General features: G+C 39.3%; 1 long non-coding RNA gene across 1 annotated transcript in view, besides 2 other annotated features; it reads left to right on the forward strand.

The window, feature by feature from the left end:
• LOC105372130 (uncharacterized) overlaps positions 1–25,988 on the forward strand; it is a 177,123-nt gene that overhangs the window by 79,592 nt on the left and 71,543 nt on the right. The gene's annotated exons all lie outside the window — the stretch shown is intronic.
• Positions 8,515–9,714: an enhancer, noted in NCBI's record as "P300/CBP strongly-dependent group 1 enhancer chr18:53420614-53421813 (GRCh37/hg19 assembly coordinates)". NCBI's record gives its function as "activates an origin of replication core promoter dependent on BRD2, BRD4, P300/CBP, MED14 and CDK7 cofactors, with strong dependence on P300/CBP, by STARR-seq in HCT116 cells {active_cell/tissue: HCT116}" and the evidence as "EXISTENCE:reporter gene assay evidence [ECO:0000049][PMID:35650434]".
• Positions 18,370–18,664: a silencer, noted in NCBI's record as "tiled region #1296; HepG2 Repressive non-DNase unmatched - State 24:Quies". NCBI's record gives its function as "represses a minimal TATA promoter and a strong SV40 promoter by Sharpr-MPRA in HepG2 cells {active_cell/tissue: HepG2}" and the evidence as "EXISTENCE:reporter gene assay evidence [ECO:0000049][PMID:27701403]".

Genomic DNA, 25,988 nt, shown 5'->3' on the forward strand with positions numbered 1-25,988 from the left:
AGCGACCACTGAGGACTTGCTGACTGGGTAGTGATGGGTAGGGGGCTTCTCTCATGGGCACCATAACAATATATTGCCAACCACTGGGGCCAATGCCATTTTCATGAGCCCCCATAAAAGTGGTCATTATATGATGGGGTTGGAAAGAGGCATGGGAAATGCACCAAGAACCTGTGGGATAACCTGTCGCTGAGTGGGAACAGTTTACAGACCAAGAGCATCTCCCTGGCCCTTGAAAGTATTGTCTTCATTTTTTTTGTAAGATACTAAATCTCTTTCTTACACTAAAAAAATATTTAAAATGATCTAAAATCCAGGATATTCCTGATTTGAAACAGAAAATTCTAAGATTTGGGTTGAGAATGTGGGGGGATCCATTAAGAGGCTATTTAAATGTATGACTGTAAAGGACAGCTCATTAAAATCTCAGAAATTGAAGACTAAATTATTTGTACTACATTGTTCTTAATTTTAACACCACTTTCATCTTCTTTTCAAGCCCTCTGATCCTAAAAGACGTTTCCAGTGTTTGGAGCTGCAAAGTGCATTCTGTCCAAGGGCTGGTTCTCATTTTGTTAAATTCTCTAATGGCATTGCTCAAAGACATAACTTGTAAACACACACCAGAATTTTGTTTCTTTGTTTGGTTTTCACATCACAATTGAAAAACATTCTGAAAATATGAAGCCGTTATAACATTCTCCAGGTTCCCCTATAACAATAATGCTAAAACATTCAAAACAAAGGCAAATAACATAATTAGTAAGGGAAAGATTTTGAATTTCAAATAAGATTGCAGCCACCCCATCATCTTTGGGCCTTCAAAACAACTAGACATGCTCTGCTGTGAACTGCAGGCACTGCCCTTGTTTTTGCTAACTCATTCGAACACCTTTTGTGTGGGGGAAAACTCTGTGTCTGGCTAATTTGTAAAAATGCAAGTCCTGAATTGCAAATCCCCCTGACATTTTGAGGAAAAGAAAACATGGGATGAAACCTAGAAACCAAATTTGGTGTATGGACATAGTCTATTTAGATTTTACCTATTAATTGGTTGACAACATTTCCAAGTTTGGAGTTTCACATAAAAAAAAATCAGATTTCCAGTTTTTTTGTTTTGAAAAATTAGAAGATATCACGCCTAAGCCCACCATTCTTTATTAAAACTCTCAAGCAGAGGGGAGGAGCAGTACTCCTTAGGTGGAGCATAGCTCTCTGTTAATTTTTCCAGTGACTTTTTTTTTTTTTTTTTGAGACGGAGTCTCGCTCTGTCGCCCATGCTAGAGTGCAGTGGTGCAATCTCGGCTCACCTCAACCTCTACCACCCGAGTTCAAGCGATTCTCCTGCCTCAGCCTCCTGAGTAGCTAGGGTTACAGGAGCCTGCCACCATGCCCAGCTAATTTTTTTTTTTTTTTTTTTTTGTAGATTTTATTAGACATGGGGTTTCGCCATCTCGGCCAGGCTGGTCTTGAACTCCTGACTTCGTGATCCACCCGCCTCGGCCTCCCAAAGTGCTGGGATGACAGGCATGAGCCACCACACCCGGCCAATTTTTCCAGTGACTCTTGATGCCAATTTCACTCTGATTTCAGCAATTTACACATGCTATTGGGACAGATAATCAGTGTTACAAGCCTCACGTCTCCAAAAATGGCCCAGTGCCCTATTCAACACCAACCACATAATTTGTGAGGCCTGGTGCAGAATGCAAATGTGGGGCCTCAGGTTCACAAATTATTAAGAATTTCAATATGGGGCAATTCTTTTCAATTCACTATTTCAATGGTGACAACAGAGTGTTAAACTCAGTATGGGGTCCTATGTGACACCAAGAAGCCAGCTCTGGACATAAGAATAGCTTTGGATCCACTCTGACAACTCAAAAACTATGTTCAGTGGTTTACTAGAAAGGTAAATAATTCTATAAGACTCATGCCTGTAATCCCAGCATTTGAGAGGCAGAGGCGGGCTGATCACCTGAGGTCGGGAGTTTGAGACCAGCCTGACCAACAGGGAGAAACCCTGTGTCTACTAAAAATACAAAATTAGCCGAGTGGAGTGGCGCATACCTGTAATCCCAGCTACTTTGGAGGCTGAGGCAGGAGAATCACTTGAACCCGGGAGGCGGAGGCTGCAGTGAGCCAAGATTGTGCCATTGCACTCCAGACTGGGCAACAAGAGTGAAACTCCGTCTCAAAACAAAAAAAAAAGAGAAGAAAAAAGAAAGTGAATTCTAGAAGAACAAATGGGATCATACTATATTTAACACCAGAACTTTTTCAAAAGATAATTTTAATGTAACTTGGAAAATATGCTATTATTAGTACATTAGAACACCTTATTCTCTTAAACTATATTGCATGCTATTCCATTTCACATATACATAAACTTATTTAACACAGTCTGAAAAGACAAACAACATTATTTTCAATATTTTGTTTGTGGGTTTCTTTTGCTATTATACATCCCCATTGTTGAAATAAACATGTCCTTTGCCTAAGAGTCTGTCTCTCTAGATCTTCTCATGGGCCTTTTAACCACAACTCAGTTCCTGTTCAAATGTCACCTTCTCAGAGAGAAACTCCCTCTGTCATTCTTTTTCTTCCTAATTTATTTCATAGCACTTATCAGTATCCGAAATTAAATAACACGATTCGCTTATTTGTTCATATAACTTTTGTGAGGGCAGGGATTTTTCTGCCTTGTTCATTACTATATTTCTAATAGTGACACCAGCACTTTGTCATGTGTGGGGATGCAGGAAATATTTGCTTAATAAATGAGTGAAACCCTCCAATACATTTTTTCTCTGTAGGCTAGAGTTATACATTGTGGAAATGCAAAGTCAAAGGTTACACACAGATAATTTTTTGCCAGATAGTAGCAAATTGCTTTACCAAAGGTTGTACCAATTTAGATTCTCACTGACATTCTTGTTTCCTCTCACTCTAGTCAACATTGTTTTTAGAAATACTTTTCAATCTTCAGCAAGTTGTTATATTTGCATGTCTTTAAATATGGCATATATTCATGGAAAATAGCTAGTTTTCGCTTGTATGAGGTTGGTGGGGGGAAGTGGATGGAGGCGTCTGGTAAAATGATACACCTCCTTGCTGTGGAATGTACTGCACCAACTTGGGCGTTTAATGCCACCACACCTTGGTGATGGCTGGAGAATTCATCATCCCTTCTCTGCCAAACAACATCCTAGTCATTCTTCGTTCAAGGACCTGCTCAGAGGCTGCCATTATTCCTATGAAGTCTTCATTCCTCCCCGTTCCCCCATCTCACCCAGTCAGAACCAACCACTTTTCCTCAGTGTTCCCACAGTACGACCACAGTGACTCTACCTAGTCTGACTTGGCCAGCTGAAGGCTTGTCTGACCCTGCCTTCCACACAGTGCCTCCCACCTATCTGTAGTGTCTTCCAATGATAACAAAACACAGCATTCTTGAGACCCAAGGGCACTTTCTCTCTTCAGAGAGTCTGGCTGACTAACAAGCTGCCAAACTCTCACTCTACTCTCTTTGGAGTGCTCCCGCCTGACCTGGCCCCTGAGGGTGCTGAGCACACGGCCATAGAGATAACACTAACATGGAGCATAGTAGCGGGTCAGCCCTGAATGTCATCAGCCTCCAACACTCCCAGGCATGAGGAGGCATTTTAAGCCCACCTGGGGCTTTTGTCAGTACTTTATCTGTGTCACCCATATCTCCTCAAAGTATGGGAAAACAAAACCACAGTGGCTTATCAGGAGTCGTAATTCCTTACATCTCCCTTATCACCTAAGATTACCCAATCCTACCAGAGCTTTCAGGGATCTGTGTGGAGGATAACAAAACCTCTCAGTAGCAAGTGGTCTTATCACCCTAGCAGCCCTTGAAGGGTCGAGAGAGGCTTTAATTTCTACCCTGGTATTTTTCCTGATATACTTTCCACTTTTCTAAGAGGCCTGGTCTTATAGCATAGTTTGATTGTCTTTAGAAAACTTCTAGCCTCAAATTTCTATGGCTTGTAAGTTAGGAGCAAGTATGTAGCCACAGCTGTGATTTAGTAAGTGTTTCCTATGTTTCAGTCTCAAATTGATCTCATTTCATCTTCACAACTACCCTGGGAAAAGATACTAGTGCCATTGTATATAGTTTTAGAGACGGGGTCTCACTGTGTTGCTCAGGCTAGTCTCAAACTCCTAGCCTCAAGTGATCTTCCTGCCTCATCCACCCATGTAATTGGGATTACAGCTGGGAGCCACCACACCCAGCTTAGTGCCATTTAATAAATGAGGAAACTGAGGCTCTGAACAAGGAAATGGTTCTTCCAAAGTCACACAACTTTTAAATGTCAGAGCATGAATCTGAAGCCAAGTCTGCTATGGACTGCCAAGCCTAACATAACCACTGTGCTAGGTAAGAGGTAGTACTGAGTAGGGGTTAGCATGCTGGATTCTGGAACCTGGCTGTCTGAGTTTGAATTTTGACACTGCTGTTTACTAGCTGTGTAACCTTGGGCAAGTTACTTAACTTCTCTGTCCCCCCAGTCCCTCACCTATAAAATTAGATTAATAATACCTATTTCATGGAGTTGAGAAAAAACACACACAAATATACATACATCCTCGGTTCAGTGTCTACTCTATAAATGACAGCTATTACTAATTGATTTCCATTATCAAATGGAACCTGCTGCCTCTTTGAAACAAGGTAAAGAAGAATTAAAGCAGTTACCCAGATGAGTCAAAAAAAAAAAGTCAATATATAGAAGAAAGGAGAAAGACATAAGACAAAATAGCAGTGTTCATGTTTGATTGGTTGCCTTGTTTCTTCTTTCTTCTATTCTTCCTTTTTTGTGGAAGTATAACCATTTCCCTTTTTCTTTGAAAATAGAGGTCTGTTCTTCCTTTGACTTTCTACTCTAGACTTCTCATTACATTGGGAAAAAAATGTACTGCAATACACAGAAATGTAATTTTAGCCAACATGCACTTTTCTCCTCCATACCTCCCTCCTTCATATGCACTTACAGACACATACTTACAGGCACACGTGCATACACTGACACACACACACTCCCGCATAGACACCCATCCAGACATCACTCACACATAGATACAGACACACTGATGCCTTTTGTTGGCATCTGAGCTCAGGCTATTCCACTCCCACAAGGATTTTGTGCGTGTATGTGTGTGTATGTGTGACAGAAATCAATTCCTCACTTGTTATCACAGGTGCAGTGGCTTGCTTTCATGAAGTTAAATATTTGTCTCCCTCACAAACTCCTACACTTTCAGGTTTGGGAGAGATCATTAAAGTCACCTGGTCCAACCACCCTTCTGATGTTTGAATTGCCTCTGACAACATCCTGGCTAGATGGTAAACTTGTCTACATTTGAACGTTTCGAATGACAAGAAGCTCGCTAGCTGCCAAGAAACTCAATTTCATCCTTTTCATCTTGTTAAGATCTGTAGTCAAAGGTGGCGCTGGTGCTCTAACCCTTCCAGCTTAACAGGGAACATGTATTTTAATCAAGCTGTAGAATCATTTTTGGTAGGAAAAGCCATTTTCAAAACATCTGATAAAGGGTTAACGATGCTACTGCACAAAAAGAACTTTCAAGTTATGAGAAAATGACAATGACTCCAATTTTTTTAAAATGATAAGAGACATACAGAAGAGGAAATACCAATGACCAAAATGTATGTGGAAGATATTCAACCTCAATAGTAGTCAAATAGATGCCAATAAAAGCAACAACTAATCCTTTGTTAGAGTTTAGATTGATGAGGATTAAGAAAAAAAGACCTTTGATTAAACTCAGCATTGATGATGAAGATGTAAATGGGGGAAGGGGCAGTCTCTATCACACCTGGGGATGGTGTAAACTGATTTAAAACAGTGTTTCTAAAAGGCAATTTAACAATATGGATCAACGTTTAAAATGGGCAGGTACCCAGAAATCCCATTTGTAGGAGCCTTTTTTTAAAAAATTTATTTAGGAGATTTTTCTTTAGAAAATAATTGAAGAAGTGTGCAGATATATAGGTTTATGTATGCATATATGTGTGTATGTGTGTCTGTGTGTGTGCCTAATTGTGTTGTTGCTTTACCAAAACACTGGAAATGATCTAAATGATTAAGTAATCATGGTAGAACTATGCAATGGTATACTGGAGAGCTCTTTAAAAAGATGACATATAGGCTGGGCGCAGTGGCTCGTGCCTGTAATCCTAGCACTTTGGGAGGCCGAGTCGGGTGGATCACGAGATCAGGAGTTCAAGACCAGCCTGGCCAAGATGGTGAAACCCCGTCTCTACTAAAAATACAAAAATTAGCTGGGCATGGTGGCGGGTGCCTGTAATCCCAGCTACTCGGGATGCTGAGGCAGAGAATTCCTTGAACCCAGGAAGCAGAGGTTGCAGTGAACCGAGATCGCACCACTGCACTCCAGCTTGGGCGACAGAGCGAGACTTTGTCTTAAAAAAAAAAAAAAGATAACACATATAAGTTTTCATCAACAAGGAAAAAGATCCAAGACTACTTTTGCATGAAATGCCACGTTACCAAACAGCATGAATAGTATGGTCTCATTTACATAAACTTTATTTTTGTAAATATATCTTAATCCCAAACTCAAGTATAAAAGAACTAATTATTTATATATGTATGTACATATAGATATATAACAGCAGATATATATGTATCAGCTTTTTTGAGATATAATTCATATATCATAAAATTCACGCTTTTAATGTGTCCAAATCAGTGGTTTCTAGTATATTCACGGAGTTGCGCAACCATCACTGCCATCTAATTTTAGAACACTTTCTAAATGACCTGTAAGAAACCTTGTAGTCTCTAGAGGTTATTCCCCATTCTTCCCTCCCTGCTTCTTGGCTACCACTAATCTACTTTCCTTCTCTATGGATTTGCCTATTCTGGACATTCCTATAAATAGAATCATATAATATGTGGCCTTTTGTGACCATCTTTTCGCTTAGTGTAATGTTTTCATGCCCCATCCGCATTTTAGCATGTATCAGTACTTCATTCCTCTTATGGCCGAATAATATTCCTTTGTATCGATAAGCCACATTTTGTTTACCCATTCATTAGTTGGTGGACATTTGGATCATTTTCACATTTTGGCTATTATGAATAATGCCGCTATGAAAATTTGTATACAAGCATTTGTGTGGATGTATGTTTTCAATTCTCTCGAGTAGATACCCAGGAGTAAAGTTGCTTTGTCAAATAGTAACTCTATATTTCACATTTCGAGGAACTTCCAAACTGTTTTCCAAAGTGGCTGCATCATTTTACGTTCCCATTAACAATGAAGAAGCGATCTAATTTCTCCATGTCACCTATAACGGTTGTTTTATGTGTCTTTTTGATTATAACCATCGTAGTGGGCGTGAAGTGGTTACATACAAATGTTTTCAATCAACACAATTCCAATTCCAAGCCTCTTTCCCTATGCATTAGGATAAAATTCAAATTTTGTAATTCTTGGGGGCCCATCTTCTACAGGCTTGTATCAACATGGAAAGAATCAGAGGAGGAGATGACCAGGAAAGAACAGTAAAGAAATGTTAGGGTGGGCTAGACAGGAAGTCTCAGGAATTAATTTTTGATTCCAGGTCATCATGCCCCAGATCAATTTGCTTAATAATCAAATTGCTGAACTTAGCTATTTACCAAAAAGTATGTTTATTTCAACTCTTACTTACAGCAGTTTTTATTGAGTGGGATTGTTTTAACAGATTTGGAAGATTCTATAAAACTAATTAGTTGATGGTTTTTTGCTGTCTTCATAGCAGTATTTTAAGTCACGTTCTGTAAGTAAATTGCTAATGGTCATAAGGTGGTTTAACTTTCTTATTAAATGTTAAATATCCAGAAAATGTATTTCCTAATTAGGTGCCAAATTTCATATATATATATTCTGTTCATATTATTTTTGTTTGAGTTGGTGTCTCACTATACTGCCAGGTTGGTCTCAAACTCCTGGGCTCAAGTGATCCTCCTGCCCCAGCCTGTTGAGTAGTTGGGATTATAGGCCCAAGCCAACACATCTGACTTCATTCAGTTTGTATTGATTTCTTTCAGATCTTGTAAAAATTGCTTTCTGCTTTGCCACTTTTTTTGTTTCTTTTGCCAATTTTTCTTTCACCCATCCTTTCACAGTTTTTTGATTTTAAACCAATTTATTTTTAATCTTTTCTTTACAATTCCACATTTATAGTTCATGTATATCAAATTTGAAGTATTAATCAATTGAATCATTACATGCATCCTGTTAGAAAACTTCAATTTTTTTGAACAGTTTTACAATTTCAACTCATATCTTTTTATAAGAGCTTAATAAGTCAATATCCCAACTGCTCTTTTTTAGAAAACAATTTTTTTCATTTCATAGAATTCAAGAAATTTTGAAATTTTTAATATGAAATTTCTTGCAAATCACAGGATTTGTTGGGGTTTTTTGAAGTTTTAGGTTTAATCTGGTTTATTTTGGATTTAGTTGAGGCTCAGTGCAATCATTTTACTAAGTGGTTTTACAGTAGATTTGTCAGACCAGCTTAGCTGAATATCCATTTCATGTGTGATTCAAATTTCAGACACTGATCATTTCTTAAATGCTTGAAACACATGCAAGATATCCATTTCATTAAGCTGATTTATGTAACTGTAAATTTTAACAAGTACAAATGGCAATATAGCATGCATTACTTTATAAAAATAACCTATTTGGATCTTGAATAGTTAAATGTTCATGATTAGGTGTCCATCATATGAATTGCTTCCAAATCTACTTTTTTAGTAAACATTTTTGGAGAAAATTGCGACTATGTTTATAGTATTATAGCATTCTTAAAATTAGATTTTATCTGAATATACTTACTTGGGCATGACCTGTTAGTGCTGCTGCAAACTGAATAAGCAGGATGTTTATTCTTAGATAGTGCCCTCTGTGGAAATAAGTTTCGGTTAGTGACTAATCTAGGATGATGTAGAAATGAATCAATAAAAAGGTAAATCAAAATGAATTATTTTGATTTCAGATCACGTGGTTTCCTTTAAAGTTGACTTGTAAAATATAACTTCCTGATAATGATAGAAATGAGGATCTGGTTAGAGCTAATATCTGGCAATAAGTTGGAAAATTCTAAAATGAGGCTTTATACCCATAGGTGTTATGCTGTAGTGACACAATGGGCATATGACTCACTTTGGGAATGACAGCAGCTCCTTACCCAACACAAGACGTGAAACAAGGGCAGTGACTGCTGACTGGAGGTGATGAAAATGAAGATGGTATTGTGGGCTCTGATTCTAGGAAATGTCCATAGATGCAGATAAGGCTGCTTAATTCTGATGTAAGGAAGAGACAATGAATTAATTCACCCCAGGGACCTTTGTGTGGATCGAATTATGTCCTCCCCACCCAAATTTATATGTTGAAGTCCTAACACTCAGGACCTTGGAATGTGACTGCATTTGGACATAGGGTCTTTAAAGAGGTTATTAATTAAATTAAAATGAGATCATTAGAGTGGGCCCTAATCCAATCTGGCTGGTATCCTTACAAGAAGAGGAAATTTGGACATCAATATACAGAGGGAAGACCACATGTAGACACGAAGAGAAGACAGCCACCTACAAGTCAAGGAGAGAGGCCTGGGAAGAAACCAACCCTGCTGACCCCTTGATCTGTGATTTCTAGCCTTCAGAATTGTGATGAAACTAATTTTTGTTGTTTAAGCCACCCATTCTGTAGTACCTTGTTATGGTTTTCTTACCAAACTAATGCAATCTTAACTTCAAATACTGTTTTATGACATTGAGTTGCTGTGGAATGGATTTTATTTTATTTTATTAATTTTTTTGAAATGGAGGAGTCTTGCTCTGTCACCAGGCTGGAGTGCAGTGGCATGATCTCAGCTCATTGCAGCCTCCGCCTCCTGGGTTCAAGCGATTCTCCTGCCACAGCCTCCCGAGTAGCTGCTATCACAGGTGCACCACATGCAGGCCACCACACCTGGCTGATTTTTGTACTTTTAGTAGAGACAGAGTTTCACTATGTTGGCCAGGCTGGTCTTGAACTCCTGACCTCAGATGATCTGCCCTCCTCGGCCTCCCAAAGTGCTGGGATTACAGGTGTGAGCCACTGCGCCCGGCCTATGGAATGAATTTTAATAAATAATTATAAGTAGATATTTTTTCATTTTAAGACACAAAGCAATGTCATTAGAATCTCCTCTTGGGCAGTAGGTGTCAACGAGGTGGGTTTGGTTTTCACTGGCAAAGTGCAAGAAGTCTCCTGCAGGATTCAAGGACAAGCATTGCCGTTTGCTTGTCTTACGCAAGGCAGCAGGGTTTAGGCAGTGCAGAGCTATGGTTATAAATACAACCTCTGGAGTTCAAAAGCACCGACCTCACTAGGTCATTATGAGGCCTAACTTCATTAAGATGTCACACAGTGTCTGCCACACCATGAATGCTGCGTAAGTGGTAGCTCTTGTTCTTATTCATGGAGTCAAAAGAATTGGAGATGAAAGTGACTTTCAAATTTATGATTACTGTGAGCAGTAGTAATGATAAACTAAACAAGTAACACCGAGAAATTAACTAAGTTATAGTGGAGATGTGATAGTTGCTAGCCTTTGAGGGGTAGCCCATACCATTTGTTACTACCTCTTTTTCTAATTTAACAGCTTCCTTTGATATCTGTTCTCAAGTTCTTTTAAACCTTAACTGAATTTTCACCCTTGGTCTCCTCACACATCCTTTGAGCTCTTTCAGTGCATTGTTTTCTTCAATTGAATCTTGAACTCCTTACATCTTCCCTGTTCTAACCTCCAGCACAAGAATCTGACTCAGGGCTCAGTTGTTTCCTAGAGTCCTCTCTATCCAGAACCTGTTTGAACAAATGAAATCCTCAATGCTTCTACCTTAGAGGAAGACAACGCCAACATAAAGAAATTACAGTGTCTTGTGGGTTACCTCAAGACCTAAAATATGATCAATTTATAGCTTTTAAGCCTCAAAGCAATCGTGACCATATCCAAGGGTGGTTGGTGTTCTGCTTTAGTTCATGGCAACTTTCAGCTTCAATCTTAGAAATCCAAATTATTTCTGGTTTACATGGGAGGTCTCATGTTTTTCAGAGACTTTGGGGAAGCAATCCATCTATTTTTGTTTTGTTTTGTTTTGTTTTGTTTTGTTTTGTTTTGTTTTTGAGATGGAGTCTTGCTCTGTCGCCCAGGCTGGAGTGCAGTGACGCGATCTCGGCTCACTGCAACTTTCGCCTCCTGGGTTCAAGTGATTCCCTTGCCTCAGCCTCCCGAGTAGCTGGGACTACAGGCACGCACCACCATGCCCGGCTATTTTTTTTGTATTTTAGTAGAGACGGGGTTTCACCATGTTGGCCAGGCTGGTCTTGATCTCCTGACCTCATGATCTGCCCACCTCAACCTCTCAAAGTGCTGGGATTACAGGTGTGAGATACCGTGCCCAGCTGGGAGCAATCAGTCATTCTGTAAATGAGTTCGATTTAAATTTACTTATATAGTGAAACAAATAATTTTAAAAAATCAACCATTTTACAGCACTTTTCTTTGAGATGCCCACGTAGTGGGGATCAAGGGCAGAAAGGTTGGGAAAATGAGCTTTAGGTTTCTTTCTTCAACTTGTCCCAAGATGTGTCAATGGAATGAAGACCTGCCACGGGCTTGCTCTGTGAGGAGTTTAGGAAATTAACAAACTTTATACCATCTCCACCCCCTGCCACCCCCACCCCACCCCCCGCAATTCTTCAGCTTGAGTGAGACTGCTGTCGCTAGAACTGCAGTCTCATTGATATCTCATGGTATCCTAGCTTCAGGACCCAATCTTCAGGGAAAAGCCAGCCACTGGCAGCCAGGTTTGAAGTATATGGAATTTGGGCTCAGCATCACTGCTTTTCTGTGAGTTCTGTCCTCCGGAATTGTGCAGTGCACAGTATACACCACTATGCTTAGTAGCCCTCTTCCAACTCTGGCTTAAGTGCCCTGGCTCTCTTTGAATATCTTTCACTGAATACCTTGGCCCTCATCTTGCTTCCTGGTGACCCAGACCCTCTCCTGGGGAACTTTCTATGGGCTCTTCATCCCCTGCCCAGGAACTGATATGCTTCCCAACCCTGTCTCTTTTCTTTGATACTTATCAGTCCTTTAGATATTGGCATTATAAAACGTTGGACTAATGTAAAAAACCGATTTATAAGAAGTTGAGGATTATTGCTGATATAATAAATGTATATCAAACAGTACAGTGCCTGACTTTGAATAAGAATTCAGGGAGAGTTATTATTCTTATTGATTCTCAAATTATAATTTTTTTTTACTCTTTATTGTTTTACCAATGTTATTTATTTGCCTTTTAACAGAAGTCTTCAGGGTAAAATGGCTTGACTGAAGAAATGAATGTCTAAGAGTAGAAGCTGTTGATTTGGGGGGAAATTTTCATATAAGAATGATATTTCAAGGGCAGTTTAATCTTTAAAACATGACTTTTATCTGATGTGTTGCAACATCAGGAGTTTAGCTATTAGGTGTCTTAGTCCATTTTCTGTTGCTATAATAAAATAATGCAGGCTTGGTAATTTAAAAAAGAAAAAAAGTTTATTTTGGCCCATGGTTCTGAAGGCTGGGAAGTCTAAGAGCATGGCACTGGCACCTGCTCAACTTCTGAGGAGGGCCTTCTTGCTGCTTCATAACACTGTGGAAAGCATCACATGGCAAGAGAACAAGAGCATGTGTATCAGCTCAGGTCTCTCTTCCTCTTCTTATAAAACCACCAGACCCATCTTGGAGGCCCCACCTTTATACCTTATCTAATCCTAATTATCCTTCAAAGGCCTCACCTCCAATCAATGTATGAATTTAGGGATTAAGTTTCTAACACTTGAAATTTGGGAGACACATTTAAACCATAGCATTAGGTAAATGGCTCCTTTTAATGAGTAGAAACATTGTATAGTGATGTGGTGCTTAAACTCAAGAGAGCATTAAATGATGGGGAAAACTTGTTAAAATCCAGAGTCTGGTCTGCACCCCCGATGCAGGAGTCTGGGGTGAAAATGGAGAATTTGCATACCTAACAATTTCCTAGGTAATGTTGATGCTTCTGGTCAAGGGACCACTTTGAGAACCACTCACACAGTAGAAAGAACAGTGGGTCAGCCAAGGAGATATGTGCTCTAGTCCAGTCTCACTCTCCCAAACATGTTGTGAGATCCCAAGCAAGTTTCTTAATTTTCCAGGGCCTCGGTCTTCTCACCTGTAAACCAGGAGATAGATTGGACAGTCTCCACGTTTTCCTCTGGCTCACATTCGTCCCCATTCAAATTCTGAGCTACACACAACATGTGTGTGGTGTCTGTCCAAGAGGGAGGAGGGACCAGCCACAGCCTCACTGGAAGCAGCGTCCTTTCTTTGTGGTGACCCTCATTATATACATAGGCTCAGCTTCTTCCTTTGGTGGGGCAATCAGGGGAGAATTTTCTCCAGCTGAGTGTGCCCTGACAGAACAGAGGTGAGAGCCCAGGGCCACTGATGCTGCATCCACCGGACTTCACTGCTCTCCTCATTCAGGTGTCCTGAATGAGGTCATTATGGGCAAAGGGAGTGGAGCATGGAGTGATGGCAGCCACTGAGGCAGGGTGGAAATCTCTGAGCCAGCCTTCTGCTAAGAGCTGCAGGATTTTCACCAAGCAGAGCACTGGATGTGAAAAGCAAAAGAGAGGGGAAACTTGCAAATGGGGATAAAAGATGCCGAATGGTACAGAGTGCTCCCTCCTGCCAATGATGTTACTGCTGCATTTTGTCCAGCTGACTGAAATACCTTTGGATAAAACATATTGTGTAGATTGAACTTTGCAATATTGTTTTATTGTAGGCATTCCATTCATCCACCTGGCTGCAGAACCAGTTTTTATGGGATTTAAAGCTTCCATAAATTGGAGGAATGCTGTTTGAGAAAAATAATACAAAATTATAAATATAATATCAGTTATAGGGCCTTAGAAGGGACAGCTGCAAATGAGATACTTTGAAGTTTCTGTTTCATTAGCTTTGGTGTAAATCCACCTCTACCTCCACTCATTCATTCATTTGCTTCATTCAGGCTACAGACACTTATTGAGCATCTACTAGATGCCAAATTCTGTGCTGCTGCTACAATCCATTGAGACTTTAACACCCACATGGAATACGCAATTGGGAGAGAGTGAAGGAGTACTGAAGGCAAACTCAGGGGCTACACTTCACAAAAATAGGAGATTTGGAATTTACAAAGAAGAAGAGGAGAAAGAGGAGGAGGAGGGGAAGGAGGAAGAAAAAGAAGAGGAAAAAGAGTAACAACAACATAAAGCCATAAGTCAAAGAAGAGTGTAGGGTTGGATGATGTTTTTCAAACATTTTTGCCTGTGACTTACACTAAGAAATATACATCTACACAGTGACCAGCTAATGCTCCTCCCATAATTCACACACAGATGACTAAAACAGAAGTTTCACAGAACAATATTTATCTTTCGTGAGGCACGCTGATATTTTCTTTTTAATTTCTATTCATTTATATTATTTTCTGTATTTTTCACTTAAAGACATGCCAGTTGTGGCCTACTGGATTGATTTTCCTGCCCCAGTTGAACACAGACAGGAATAGAGGTCCTTCGTGCATGCATGTGGATTGTGGTTACTGAAGGGTCACAGGAGACTGCACAGGAGGAGGGGACAACTCACGACAGCAGAGTGGGGGCCACAGAGCCAAGGGCAAGCACGGAGGCCCAGGAAGGAAGGATGGAAAAGATGGTGCTGAGAACCTGGAAGTGTCGTATTGAGAACAGAAAACGTACAGGCCATTGACTGAACATTCTGCTTGTTAATTACATATTTTGGGATTTTGAAGAAAAAGACAAAATGTGTAAGAAGCAGATTAAAATTAGAAACATGAGCAAGAGTAGGTGGTGGGAAAGTTAAATGTAAGGAAATAAACTGTTCCAGGACTTTTTTTTTTTAAAGGCTTTTATTTCAAGGTCAGAAAAATGTCACGGAAGGAAAAAAATTATTATTTATTTAAAAAGAAAACTGAAATGTAAAAGATATGACAGAACTCTTCGGGAGGTAGAGAGAGTGAGGAAGAAAAGTGAGTACAAAGCAGAGAGGAAGAATATTGTTGCAGAAAATCATTGGTTCTAATTCCCAATTTCTGCCCAGCATTGATGAGGGAGGTAAGTCATCTTCTGTGGAGTGTTTTTTTCTGAAAAACATGGGTAGATGTATGTAAAGTAACTAGAAGAAGAGAAAATACTGTACAAACCTAAATTCCCATTTGTTAAGCAGCAGTAAATCTAATGTGACTTCATAGGTTCTTAAGGATGTGTGAGGAGGATAAATATGTGAGACTATCTTTTAGATAAGAATAAAGAAATAAAGCAAATGGTACATGATATGCAAAAAGGATGGAATATTTGACAATTTAAGGTAAACATTAAATGGAAAACACAAAATTCAAACAGCAGAGGAAGGCTAAGGGAAGACTCCTTTCACTTCTTTTTCCTTCTCCTTTAATTTTTCGTCTTTATTTCCTCTCTCCATCAGACCCTCCTCCTTCTTCTTTCCATTCCTATTTTTCTTTCTTCCTGCTTCTCCTTTTTACAAATTTTTTTTTCAGTGGCATGATCTTGGCTCACTGCAACCTCTGCCTCCTGGGTTCAAGCAATTCTCCTGCCTCAGCCTCCTGAGTAGCTGGGATTACAGGTACGCGCCAACGCGCCCGGCCAATTTTTGTATTTTTAGTAGAGACAGGGTTTTGCCATGTTGGCCAGGCCAGTATCAAACTCCTGTCCTCCGGTGGTCTGCCTGCCTCGGCCTCCCAAAATGCTGGGATTATAGGTGTGAGCCACCGGACCTGGCCCTTTTGAAAAGTTTCCATCAATGTGTTCATAAGTGCCCCTTATCTGTCAGCCATACATGCAAACTTAGAGCACAGAGGTTACAGAAGACACAGTTTGGTCCGGAAGAGTGAGACACATTTGCAAAGTGCCATTTGAGTGCCCAAACTGAGGAGCACAGGTTTGTAGAAGGTAGAAGCCCCCCTTGCTAATAACCGAAGGATAGGTTGGCTCTGAGTAGCCAAGAAGCACAGACAGCGATCATTCCTGAAAAGGAAAGATAAAGGCTACAGAAGTGCAATTCACTTTTGAAGAATAGTTTACATGGACAGAATTATAACATCTATGTTGGGAAGTTGTAGATAAAGCCAAAAGGAAAATTTTGGCCATTTCTCTTTCTGGTGGTCTTCAGAATGCCGTGAAGACCCTCTGAGAAATTTTGAGTAGAATTTTGACAGGCATCACCTTTTAAAATGGAGTTTTATTTGCCAGAAAGCAATGTAGAAGACAGATTGGAAGACTAGAAGACAGTCCGGAGGCCCCAGAGGAAGCTAATGGTCTGAAATAACAGCTTAAGAACAAAGAACTGTGAATAGTTGCTCACCTCTGAAAAATTCTCGAAGGAATAGGTGATCATTGGGTTGAAGACGAACAGAAGATGATAAACTTGGAAGATAATAAACTTAAAAGTTATGCCTTTCTTATATGGTAAAAGGACTTTCTCCTGAAATGCAATAAACTTGAGATGACTAGGTATGCAAACAAACAAAAGTAGTTAGGGTTTTCATTCTGGTTTCTATAAATATCCCCAATAACTCTCTTGCTAGTTTCCAATCTAAAATTTTCAAAATCATGGTTTTTTTTTTGTTGTTGTTGTTTGCTGGTGGAATTAGTTTTTCTCTTTACTATTTTAATTTTAAAATCAGTATCATTTCCCTGAATTTGTTTATTAAATGCTCTAATTTCTATGAGGGTTAACTTAAATGAAACCTGGGCTTATTTTTTTCTTACATAGTTGACAAAAAAATGGCCAAGGTTAGATCCCTGTTGCCTCAATAGATGAATTTATCATTTTAGTTCCTATTTTTCCACCTTACTTATCAAGTCCATAAATATATCATTAAAGACATGTTAATGCCATAATGGAATCCAGATACAATATTGTTATATCTTTCATTAATTGATTAGTCTTATTTTAAAAATGGATTTTTGGATTTACTTGTTTTTAGTGAAATATATAGCTCCCAGTGATCAGTTCTTCTTGTCAAAGTTTATTCACGTCAACTGTTAAGAATTCATTAGAAAATGTTAATGAAGATAAGGATTAAACTCAGTAGTCCCTAGTTTCTGAAATTTGCATTTTTTCCTACCCCCGTCCTCCCCCAACTTTTATTTTTTGGAAAGAAAATGTTTTCTTATATTGTTCTGGTATGTATCTCTCCCCTTCTCCATTATTTTTCAAAGACTGTTGACATTGGTTTTGTGATCATACCTCTAAAGCACTTTAAGCATCCAGAGATGTAATTTGTTTGAGCCTGGAGATTTGAATGCAGTCAACATGTTTAGGTGCAATCATTGCTCCAAGCTTACTTAATGCTATTTATTCTGTCTATTCAAGGTTGATGATCATGATCCTGTAGTGAGCACATAAGTAAAGTAGGAGTTAAGCAGTGTTGCTTTCCTTAGAGTCTTTTACCCAGAATAACATTTAACCTATTAACAACCCTATGGCAGGGGAATGAACACGCAATGGAAGCTGGAGATAGACATCTGGGAGGCCTCTGTAGGGTAAGTGCTTGCTCGCTGAATATCAGGCCTCTTTTATCCTAAAGGAGATCTCAGGGGCTTCAGCTCTTTCTTGTTCGCCTAACTATAAACATAAGTCATTGTAGTGTTGCCCTGTAGTAAATTCCACACACTGATAGGAACCTGTTTGGGCTTTAGCTTATCTTTTTCTGCATTTGTTTTGATTTCACTATAGATTGTTAGCTACTTGAAAACACTCACTCTTTCTTAGACCACTTTTTGTCACCCTAGTTCATAGCAACCCGTATTTGGCACTGATGATGGACATGCCTGTCATATTTTGATTAAATTATTTCTTAATGAAAATTCTAATAATTATTTTAAAAGCTTGGACATTGGAGCTTTTTGGCCTAAAAAAACTCTTTATATAGAAGCGTATCTTTGGTTATTAACCTTTCCCTCCATTTTCCCTAATACACACAAATTCCTGTAAATGTCTTGCAAATTCTGCTTGGCCAAACACCATCTTAAGAGTTCAAGTGGAAGTTTAGGATCACATTTCTATTATATCTTTGGAAACTTGGGCAGTCTGGATTTGGATGCCGCAATTAATCTGATGAACATTTGATTTTTAGAAAGGTTTACTATATACTTCAGATTCAATGGTAAAACTGGAGCTCAAAGAGAGATAAGAGATCAGAGAATCACAGTGGAAAGAAAAAAAAATTACACACACACAAAACCAAACCTCAGAGGAGAGGCTTAGCCTGGTGTGTCATCACATTTGTCTTGCAGAAATGAATGGTTTAATAGATCCTAGAACTCGGGTCAGCAGGATCCACCTGCTGATGGAGCTCTGGCTGTTCTAGGGTGGGCCAGAGTGGGTGAGACACCTGCTCATTTAAGTTCCAAAGGTTTCCTGAGTCATATTACAAACACATTCCTGAAGAATTGCATTGAGCTGCTTTTAAAGCAGTTTATATCACTGCAGTAATGGGTAAACTAGCTATTTTGACACATTGTAAAAGAATGTTTTTGAAAAGAGAAACACTAGTGGTGAAAACAGAAAAATGATTGAGGGACGTTGCATTGTAGCTGCACTCAGTGTTGATGTAGGTGTTTAAACAGCCAGTTCCCAACTCACTATTTAAATACCTATATTCTGAATTAGTTATTCACCAGGGAGAGATGTTGAAGAGAAGCAAAAATGATACAATTAAGTTACAAATATAGGAGATACAGTCCAAAATATCCCAACTGTCCTCTTTTTCTTCTTTAACGAGTGTCATTATATTTTGATGTGTTTAATAATACGGCAGAGGTTAAATGAAACATGAAAAAGGGATGTACATTAAAATTGAGATAACTCTTCCTTCAGTGAAGTGGAACCCAGCAGATGTAGCAGCACACTGTAATTGCTGCCTGTTTCCTGTCAGTCTGATTAAGTTGCATTGTCCCAGCTCCAAGTGTAAGAATCAGTGGCTTCCCATAGGGCACAGCATGGGATGACGGGCTGAGACAGAGGCATAACTACATGCACTCCTGCTTCTCCTGGTAATAGTGTAGACATACAATATACATTGATGACATATAAAGTCAATAGGCTGTGTAGTGCATTAGGAGCACACGATAATCTATCTTCTTGGAGTTCCATCCCAGGAAAGCCAAATCCACAATAACACCCTGAAATCTAAGGCTCAGTGGACTAACCTACTAGGTCCAGAGTCAGTGACTTGAACATTCATTTTTTTAAAGAAACACATAGATTTAAATGTAATCTAAATTTGGCCAGAGCTGAAGCCTGCCTATTGCTTTTCATTCCCCCGCTCCGCCCCACACACTAACTGTGTACTGTGTTTTCTAAACCAGCCAGTCAATCGACAAGTATTTATTGGGCACAAAAAGAAGTCCAACATTGTGCTCGGATTTGTAGGGGATAGATACCAGACAGTTTATGATCCACTTGGGAAGACAACACTAACGTAACATGAAACAGTTAGAGCGCTATTAAGAGATACACTGTGTGAGCCAGAGTTCAGGGAAGGGACAGCTTGGTGTAGCCTGGAGTCCTGTGAAAGGGGCTTCTTGTGGGTGGAGCTTGAACTAGGCCTTGAAGAATAGCCAGAGTTTACATAAGGGATGGGGGAGAGGGAAGCTCTCCCCCAAGCTGTGAAATCATGATGACTAAAACTGTCCAGGTTGAAAAAAGCTTGGGAGACCTTAAAGAAGTAGGTCTAACTGTAGTGGCTGATATACGAATAAAGTTAAATAAGGATTTATTGTGAGAAATTCCAATAAAGGTACCACCCTGCAGTGATCTTTCACCTTGTAGAAAAAGAAATACAATAATGATAGCTATCAGTAGAAGCTCTCCATTGATTTAGTCTCACTGACAAAGTCTCTGAGGAGGAAGGCAAAGTGCATTTTTGTATTTAATTTAAGAAAAGGCATTGGTGGCCAGGCACTGTTCACGCCTGTAATCCCAGCACTTTGGGAGGCCGAGGCAGGCGGATCATGAGGTCAGGAGTTCGAGACCAGCCTGACCAACATGGTGAAACCACATCTTTACTAAAAATACAAAAATTAGCCGGGCGTGGTGGCATGCGCCTGTAATCTCAGCTGCTCAGGAGGCTGAGGCAGGAGAATCACTTGAACACAGGAGGTGCAGATTGCAGTGAGCCGAGATCATGCCATTGCACTCCAGCCTGGGTGACAGAGTGAGACTCTGTCTCAAAAAAATAAAAATAAACAAATAAATAAATAAAAGGCATTGGTGGCAATGCAAGGGGTTGAAAAGTAGGAAGAAAGTAATCATTTGATTTGGATATTTGGTTCATATGAACTGATCTATTTTTTTTTCTGATTGTGTTAGAGAGATGTGTTGATCTCATGTACATAGAGCCAACACTGACATACAGCGAGTAAATCAAAATATGCTATCTCACGTGACTGTAAACACTTTGGACTCCTCACCTAAAAGAGGATATAAGGATATTTAGTTCTCAAACCTGCCGTCAGTGTGCTTCCTTAGTAAGGCTGGGAGAGGAGGTAAAAACTATATGTAAATGATTCTAATACCATCTAGATAGGACTAAGAGGACAGTGACTAAGGAAATTCAGAGGAGAGAGATGACTTCCAGCTACCAGCAATCAGTGCATACAATTTCTTGTCTGCATGTTTAAGTTTGACTTCGAGCTCACGTCTTTAGACAGTATGCTTTAGTTGGGGGCCCTGCAATCAATTCCTGGATGTCAATGGAGATTCGACTTACTAACTTGAAATCTAATGAGAAAATTTTAGGTCTTGGATAAAGAAAAAAAAAATCAGCCATTCAATTGATTATTAAGGCTGTGTAATACCTTGAAATAACTTTGAAATAATCGTGGTCCTTTAGATGTCTAGAAAAGAAATACTTCCTTTGACTTGTTGTAGACGCGAAGTGACTGAATTGAAATTGAATTAAGTAGAGTCATGTGTATAGAAGCTCAGATGGAAGGGGGCCAGGCTGATTTAGATATGCTTAATGCTGACAACCAGTTTCCCTGAGTCTCACTGTTTTTCCAGCTCATCCTCCTCCAGTGTGACTGGAGGAATTCCAGGGACTCTTCATTAATTTCCAACTTTGCACTCTCAAGAGAGTTCACCTGTGCTTGCGAATGCAATGCCACTGGCTTCCATGTGGCACCAGCATTTCTCCTTGTGCTTAGCGCTTGGCACTGACCTTGTGGTCCTCTTTCTTCAGCATGCTGCTCGTAAGTGGCTTGATCTGATGGCCATGGTCAGCTGACAGGATCAGAGTATTAGTCCGTTCTCACGCTGCTTATAAAAACATCCCCAGGACTGGGTAATTTATAAAGGAAAGAGGTTTAATTGACTCACAGTTAGGTTAGGCATGGCTGGGGAAGCCTCAGGAAACTTACAATCATGACAGAAGGGGAAGCAAACATGTCCTTCTTCCCATGGTGGCAGAAGAGAGAAGTGCCGAGCAAAAGGACCAACATGATGTGACTTTACTCTTTCTTTAGTGGAATGTACCTTTCTAAGTTATACTAGGTCCTTCTTAAATAGATGCATGACAGAACAAAAGACTCTACTGTCCATATAAATCATACCTGCTGTTTTTAAAATCATGCTGTCTTCTTACATGAAGTAAGGCTAACATTTATTAGGAGAGTCTAGGTATCTGAAACTTCACTTGCTTAAGAGAAAAACACAAAAGCATAATAAAAAGCGATGATGCTTTGTGTATGTAGCAGTGTTGACACTTTTTGCATTATCTATGAAGCATGTTGAGCATTATTTTATTCTTTTGGATAATTCAGTATCATTGATGTAACTACCTTATGACTCCATTCTCACCACTGAAAAAGTGTGGGTGATGTGAAAGTGTTGGAAATCTGGGGGAAAAGATGACAACATGCTGGGACCATAATCATGAAGAGCCTTGGTATCTTAGACTTTAGGAAAATAAATGTTAAAAAGTGAAAGAAACAATAAATACTATGCCTTGGCCAAAGTTTCTAAAAGAGGGATTATTAACAGGCAAGTGGATCTTAAAAGGGAAATCCTGATGATAAGTAAAAATTGCTTTAAATGAAAAGTTGAGAGCCTTTAAAGACAGAAAGTGAGGTCATTTTGAGATCAGCTGGAGTCATGAAGACCTGGATGAAGTTCTCGCTTTCTCTTCTACTCCTGAGGTTACCGTAGTGCAGGGTTTCTCAGGCATGGTCCTAGTGACATTTGGGCCAGATAATTCTTTGTTGTGGGTGGCTTTCCTATGCATTATAGGATTAGCAACATCATTGGCGTCTATCCACTACAGGCCAGAAGCACCCCACTCCCCAGTTACAATAAACAAAAACATCTCCGAACATTGCCAAATGTCTTTTAAGAGGTGGGGGACAAAAACCACCTGGTTGAGAATCACCACTTTATGCAAATTACTAAAAAAAATGTATTTTTAAATACAGAACTATTCTTCAGCAATCGTGCTTAAAACTAGAGCAAACATTATAGCTAGGGAACTAAAACTAATAATTGGGAAAAGGGTGAATCGATCACATTAAATTATTTCATGTTTCTTACAAATTGAAGATTTTTACATAAAATCTCCATATCAGCTGGTAATCTTTGTAAAATGATAGAGAGTTTTGCAAGCTATGGCATGGTGGGATTGATAAAGATTCATGGCAAAATTACATAGCGCATCATTACAGAGGTGACTTAATTTAGAAAAGAAAGTATAATTGTAGGAGCTAAGATGGGTTTACAAGAATTAAGCAAGACAAACAACCTAGTTGTTTTTTCTTTTATTTTGCATAGATTATTAATTTGAGAAGTACTCAGACACCAAATGGGTGTACTGCAATACAATTCTGTTGTTAACCACCTGGAGTTAGTGTCAGACTCACAAGTAAAGGGTTCAATCCTTCACAAGATTATTCTCACTTCAGATGCCAGTTCTAAATGGTGTCTCCTGGGCCACCCATGCTTCTGATAAACTGGCTACTAATCCAGGAGGTCACCATGATGCCATTCGGGGATCAATAGAACAACTCACAAAACTCAGGAAAGCACTATACCTATGGTTAGTTTTATTATAAAAGATACACCCAGGGCAAAGTCTGGGAGGGACCACAGAGCTTCCATGCCCTCTCCATGGAGTAGGCCTATCACTCACCTGGTATATCAATGTGTTTACTGACCAGGAGCCTCCACTGGGCTTTGGTTTTTATTGGGGTTTCATTAGATAGGCATGATTAATTAAATCATGGGCCATGTGACTGAACTCAATCTCCAGTCCCCCTCCCTTCCCTGGAGGTCAGGCAAGTCAAAAATCGCAATTCTCTAATCATGTGACCAGCCACCATCCGGAAGCTATCTAGGGTCTCACCATGAGTCACCTCATTAGCGTAACAGAGCTATTCCTGTCATTCAGGAAATTCCAAGGGTTTCGAAGCTCCCTGTCAAGAACCTGGGATGAAGACCAGATATTATAACACCGGTAGATTTAAGGAGAATTTTAAAAATCTAGGCTCTCTTTACTTTAGTAAGGTAGTTGATAGAGTGTTTCTACCTTGGTGGAAAATACATAAAATATTGACTACATAAGAGGATGGTCAGTGAAATTTATAGTTAGTGAATCATTATATCCAAAGGTTTTTAATTAATGGATTAACCTGGAGGAATAAAAATTAAGTTGGGCCAAAGAAAGCATGCCTGTCAAATTTTCAAATGATATAAGACTATGAGGTATAGCTAACATTTTGGCAAACCAAATAAAAATTCAAAAGCATTTCACACTTAAAAAGAAGTGCGAAGACAGATATCTTCATAGTCACCAAAGATTCAGTCTTCATCTCTCTTTCTTCTCCACCATCTTTCTTTTCATTCTCAAAATTACTTCATCATCCAAAATAACTACTGGAGCTTCAACCATAACATTTACATTCTAGGAAGGAGGAAGAAAGAAGGAAAAGGGAGAAATGGGTATACCTCCCACCTGCTTTAGTTCCCATTAAAAAGCCTTTCCTGAAGTACCCACAAACTTTCCATTGTAACTTATGGCCTTGAACTTAGTCACTTAGCTGTAAGAGAGGTTAGGCAATACAATTTTTTTTTTGACTGAGCACAAGGCTGTTCTCCCTCCAAAAACAAACAAACAAACACACACACACATAATCTTAAAATGGTTGAAAAGGGATAAAAACTAACAAAGTGAAATTCAGAAAATAAATGAAGATAAATAAATCATCATGATTTTATACTGAAATGAGTTAAAAATTTAACAAGCACAATTTTAGTGTAAATGCAAACATTTTCTAAATATAGTACTAGCAAATTAATATAGTAATGTAAAGGAATTGTAATCATCAGAGTAGGAATTATTTTAAAAATGCAAAAGTGGTTTAATATCTAATTCCAATTTGTCACTTCTGTGCTCAAAATTCAGCTACATTGGGTCCTCTCTTGACATAGGCAATTTTTTTTGTTCTCATTCTTCAAAATTATAAGCAATGCTGCAGTGATACAAACAGTGCTGCAATAAACATCTGTCTATATCTTTTGGAACAATTTATAGTTATAATTCTTGAAAATAAAATTGGTAGGTCGAATTGCAGGCATATTTTTACTTTGTTAAATCTGGCTATTTGCCCTTCAAAAAGACAGTGTCAATTCACAATCTCTCAGCATTGTGTGAGTGCTTGTTTTTCTATAATATTACCTAATCCTGATTATTATCACGTTTAAAAAGATCTTTCACAATGAAATAATGGAAGAAAAGTGATAGTTCATTGTGGTTTCAATTAGTATTTCTTTCTTTTTTTTTTTTTCTTGAAACGGAGTCTCGCTCTGTGTCCCAGGCTGGAGGGCAGTGGTGCAATCTCGGCTCACTGCAACCTCTGCCTCTTGGATTCAAGTGATTCTCCTGCCTCAGCCTCCCAAGTAGCTGGGATTACGGGCAGGAGTCTCGCTCTGTCTCCCAGGCTGGAGTGCAGTGGTGCAGTCTCGGCTCACTGCAACCTCTGCCTCTCGGGTTCAAGTGATTCTCCTGCCTCAGACTCCCAAGTAGCTGGGATTACAGGCACCCGCTACCATGCCTGGCTTTTTTTTTTTTTTTTTTTTTAGTAAGAGACGTGCTTTCACTGTATTGGCCAGGCTGGTCTCAAACTCCTGACCTCAGGTAATCTGTGCTCTTTGGCCTCCCAAAGTGCTGGAATTACAGGCATGAGCCACCGGGCCCGGCCTACTATTTCATTAGGAATAGAACTGTCATCTTTCAAATGCCTACTTGCTGTTTTTTTTCTTTTCCATTGATCACATCTTCTTGTCCATTCCTCCTCCTTTTACATCTTTCTCTTGCTGATTTGGAGAAATACTTTCTATACTAAACATACTTTTTCCAGTTAGTTATTTACCTTTAATCATATATAGCATGTTTTTCTCTAGGGAATCTTTAAAAATTTTAGTTTTAAAATTTATTCCATCTTTTTCTCTTTTTCTTTGTGGCAACTAGTTTTAGAATCATGCTACAGAAAGGCTTCACTACAATCAGAGTAGAATACGTGTTTAAATGGTTACTTCCAGTATTCTTTCCTCTTTAAAAAAAAATTTAGGCCGGGTGCGGTGGCTCACGCCTGTAATCCCAGCACTTTGGGAGGCCGAGATGGGTGGATCACGAGGTCAGGAGATGGAGACCATCCTGGCTAACACGGTGAAGCCCCGTCTCTACTAAAAATACAAAAAATTAGCCAGGTGTGGTGGCAGGCGCCTGTAGTCCCAGCTACCCGGGAGGCTG

This window comes from Homo sapiens, chromosome 18 (genome assembly GCF_000001405.40).
Source record: "Homo sapiens chromosome 18, GRCh38.p14 Primary Assembly".
Taxonomy (NCBI): Eukaryota; Metazoa; Chordata; class Mammalia; order Primates; family Hominidae; genus Homo; species Homo sapiens.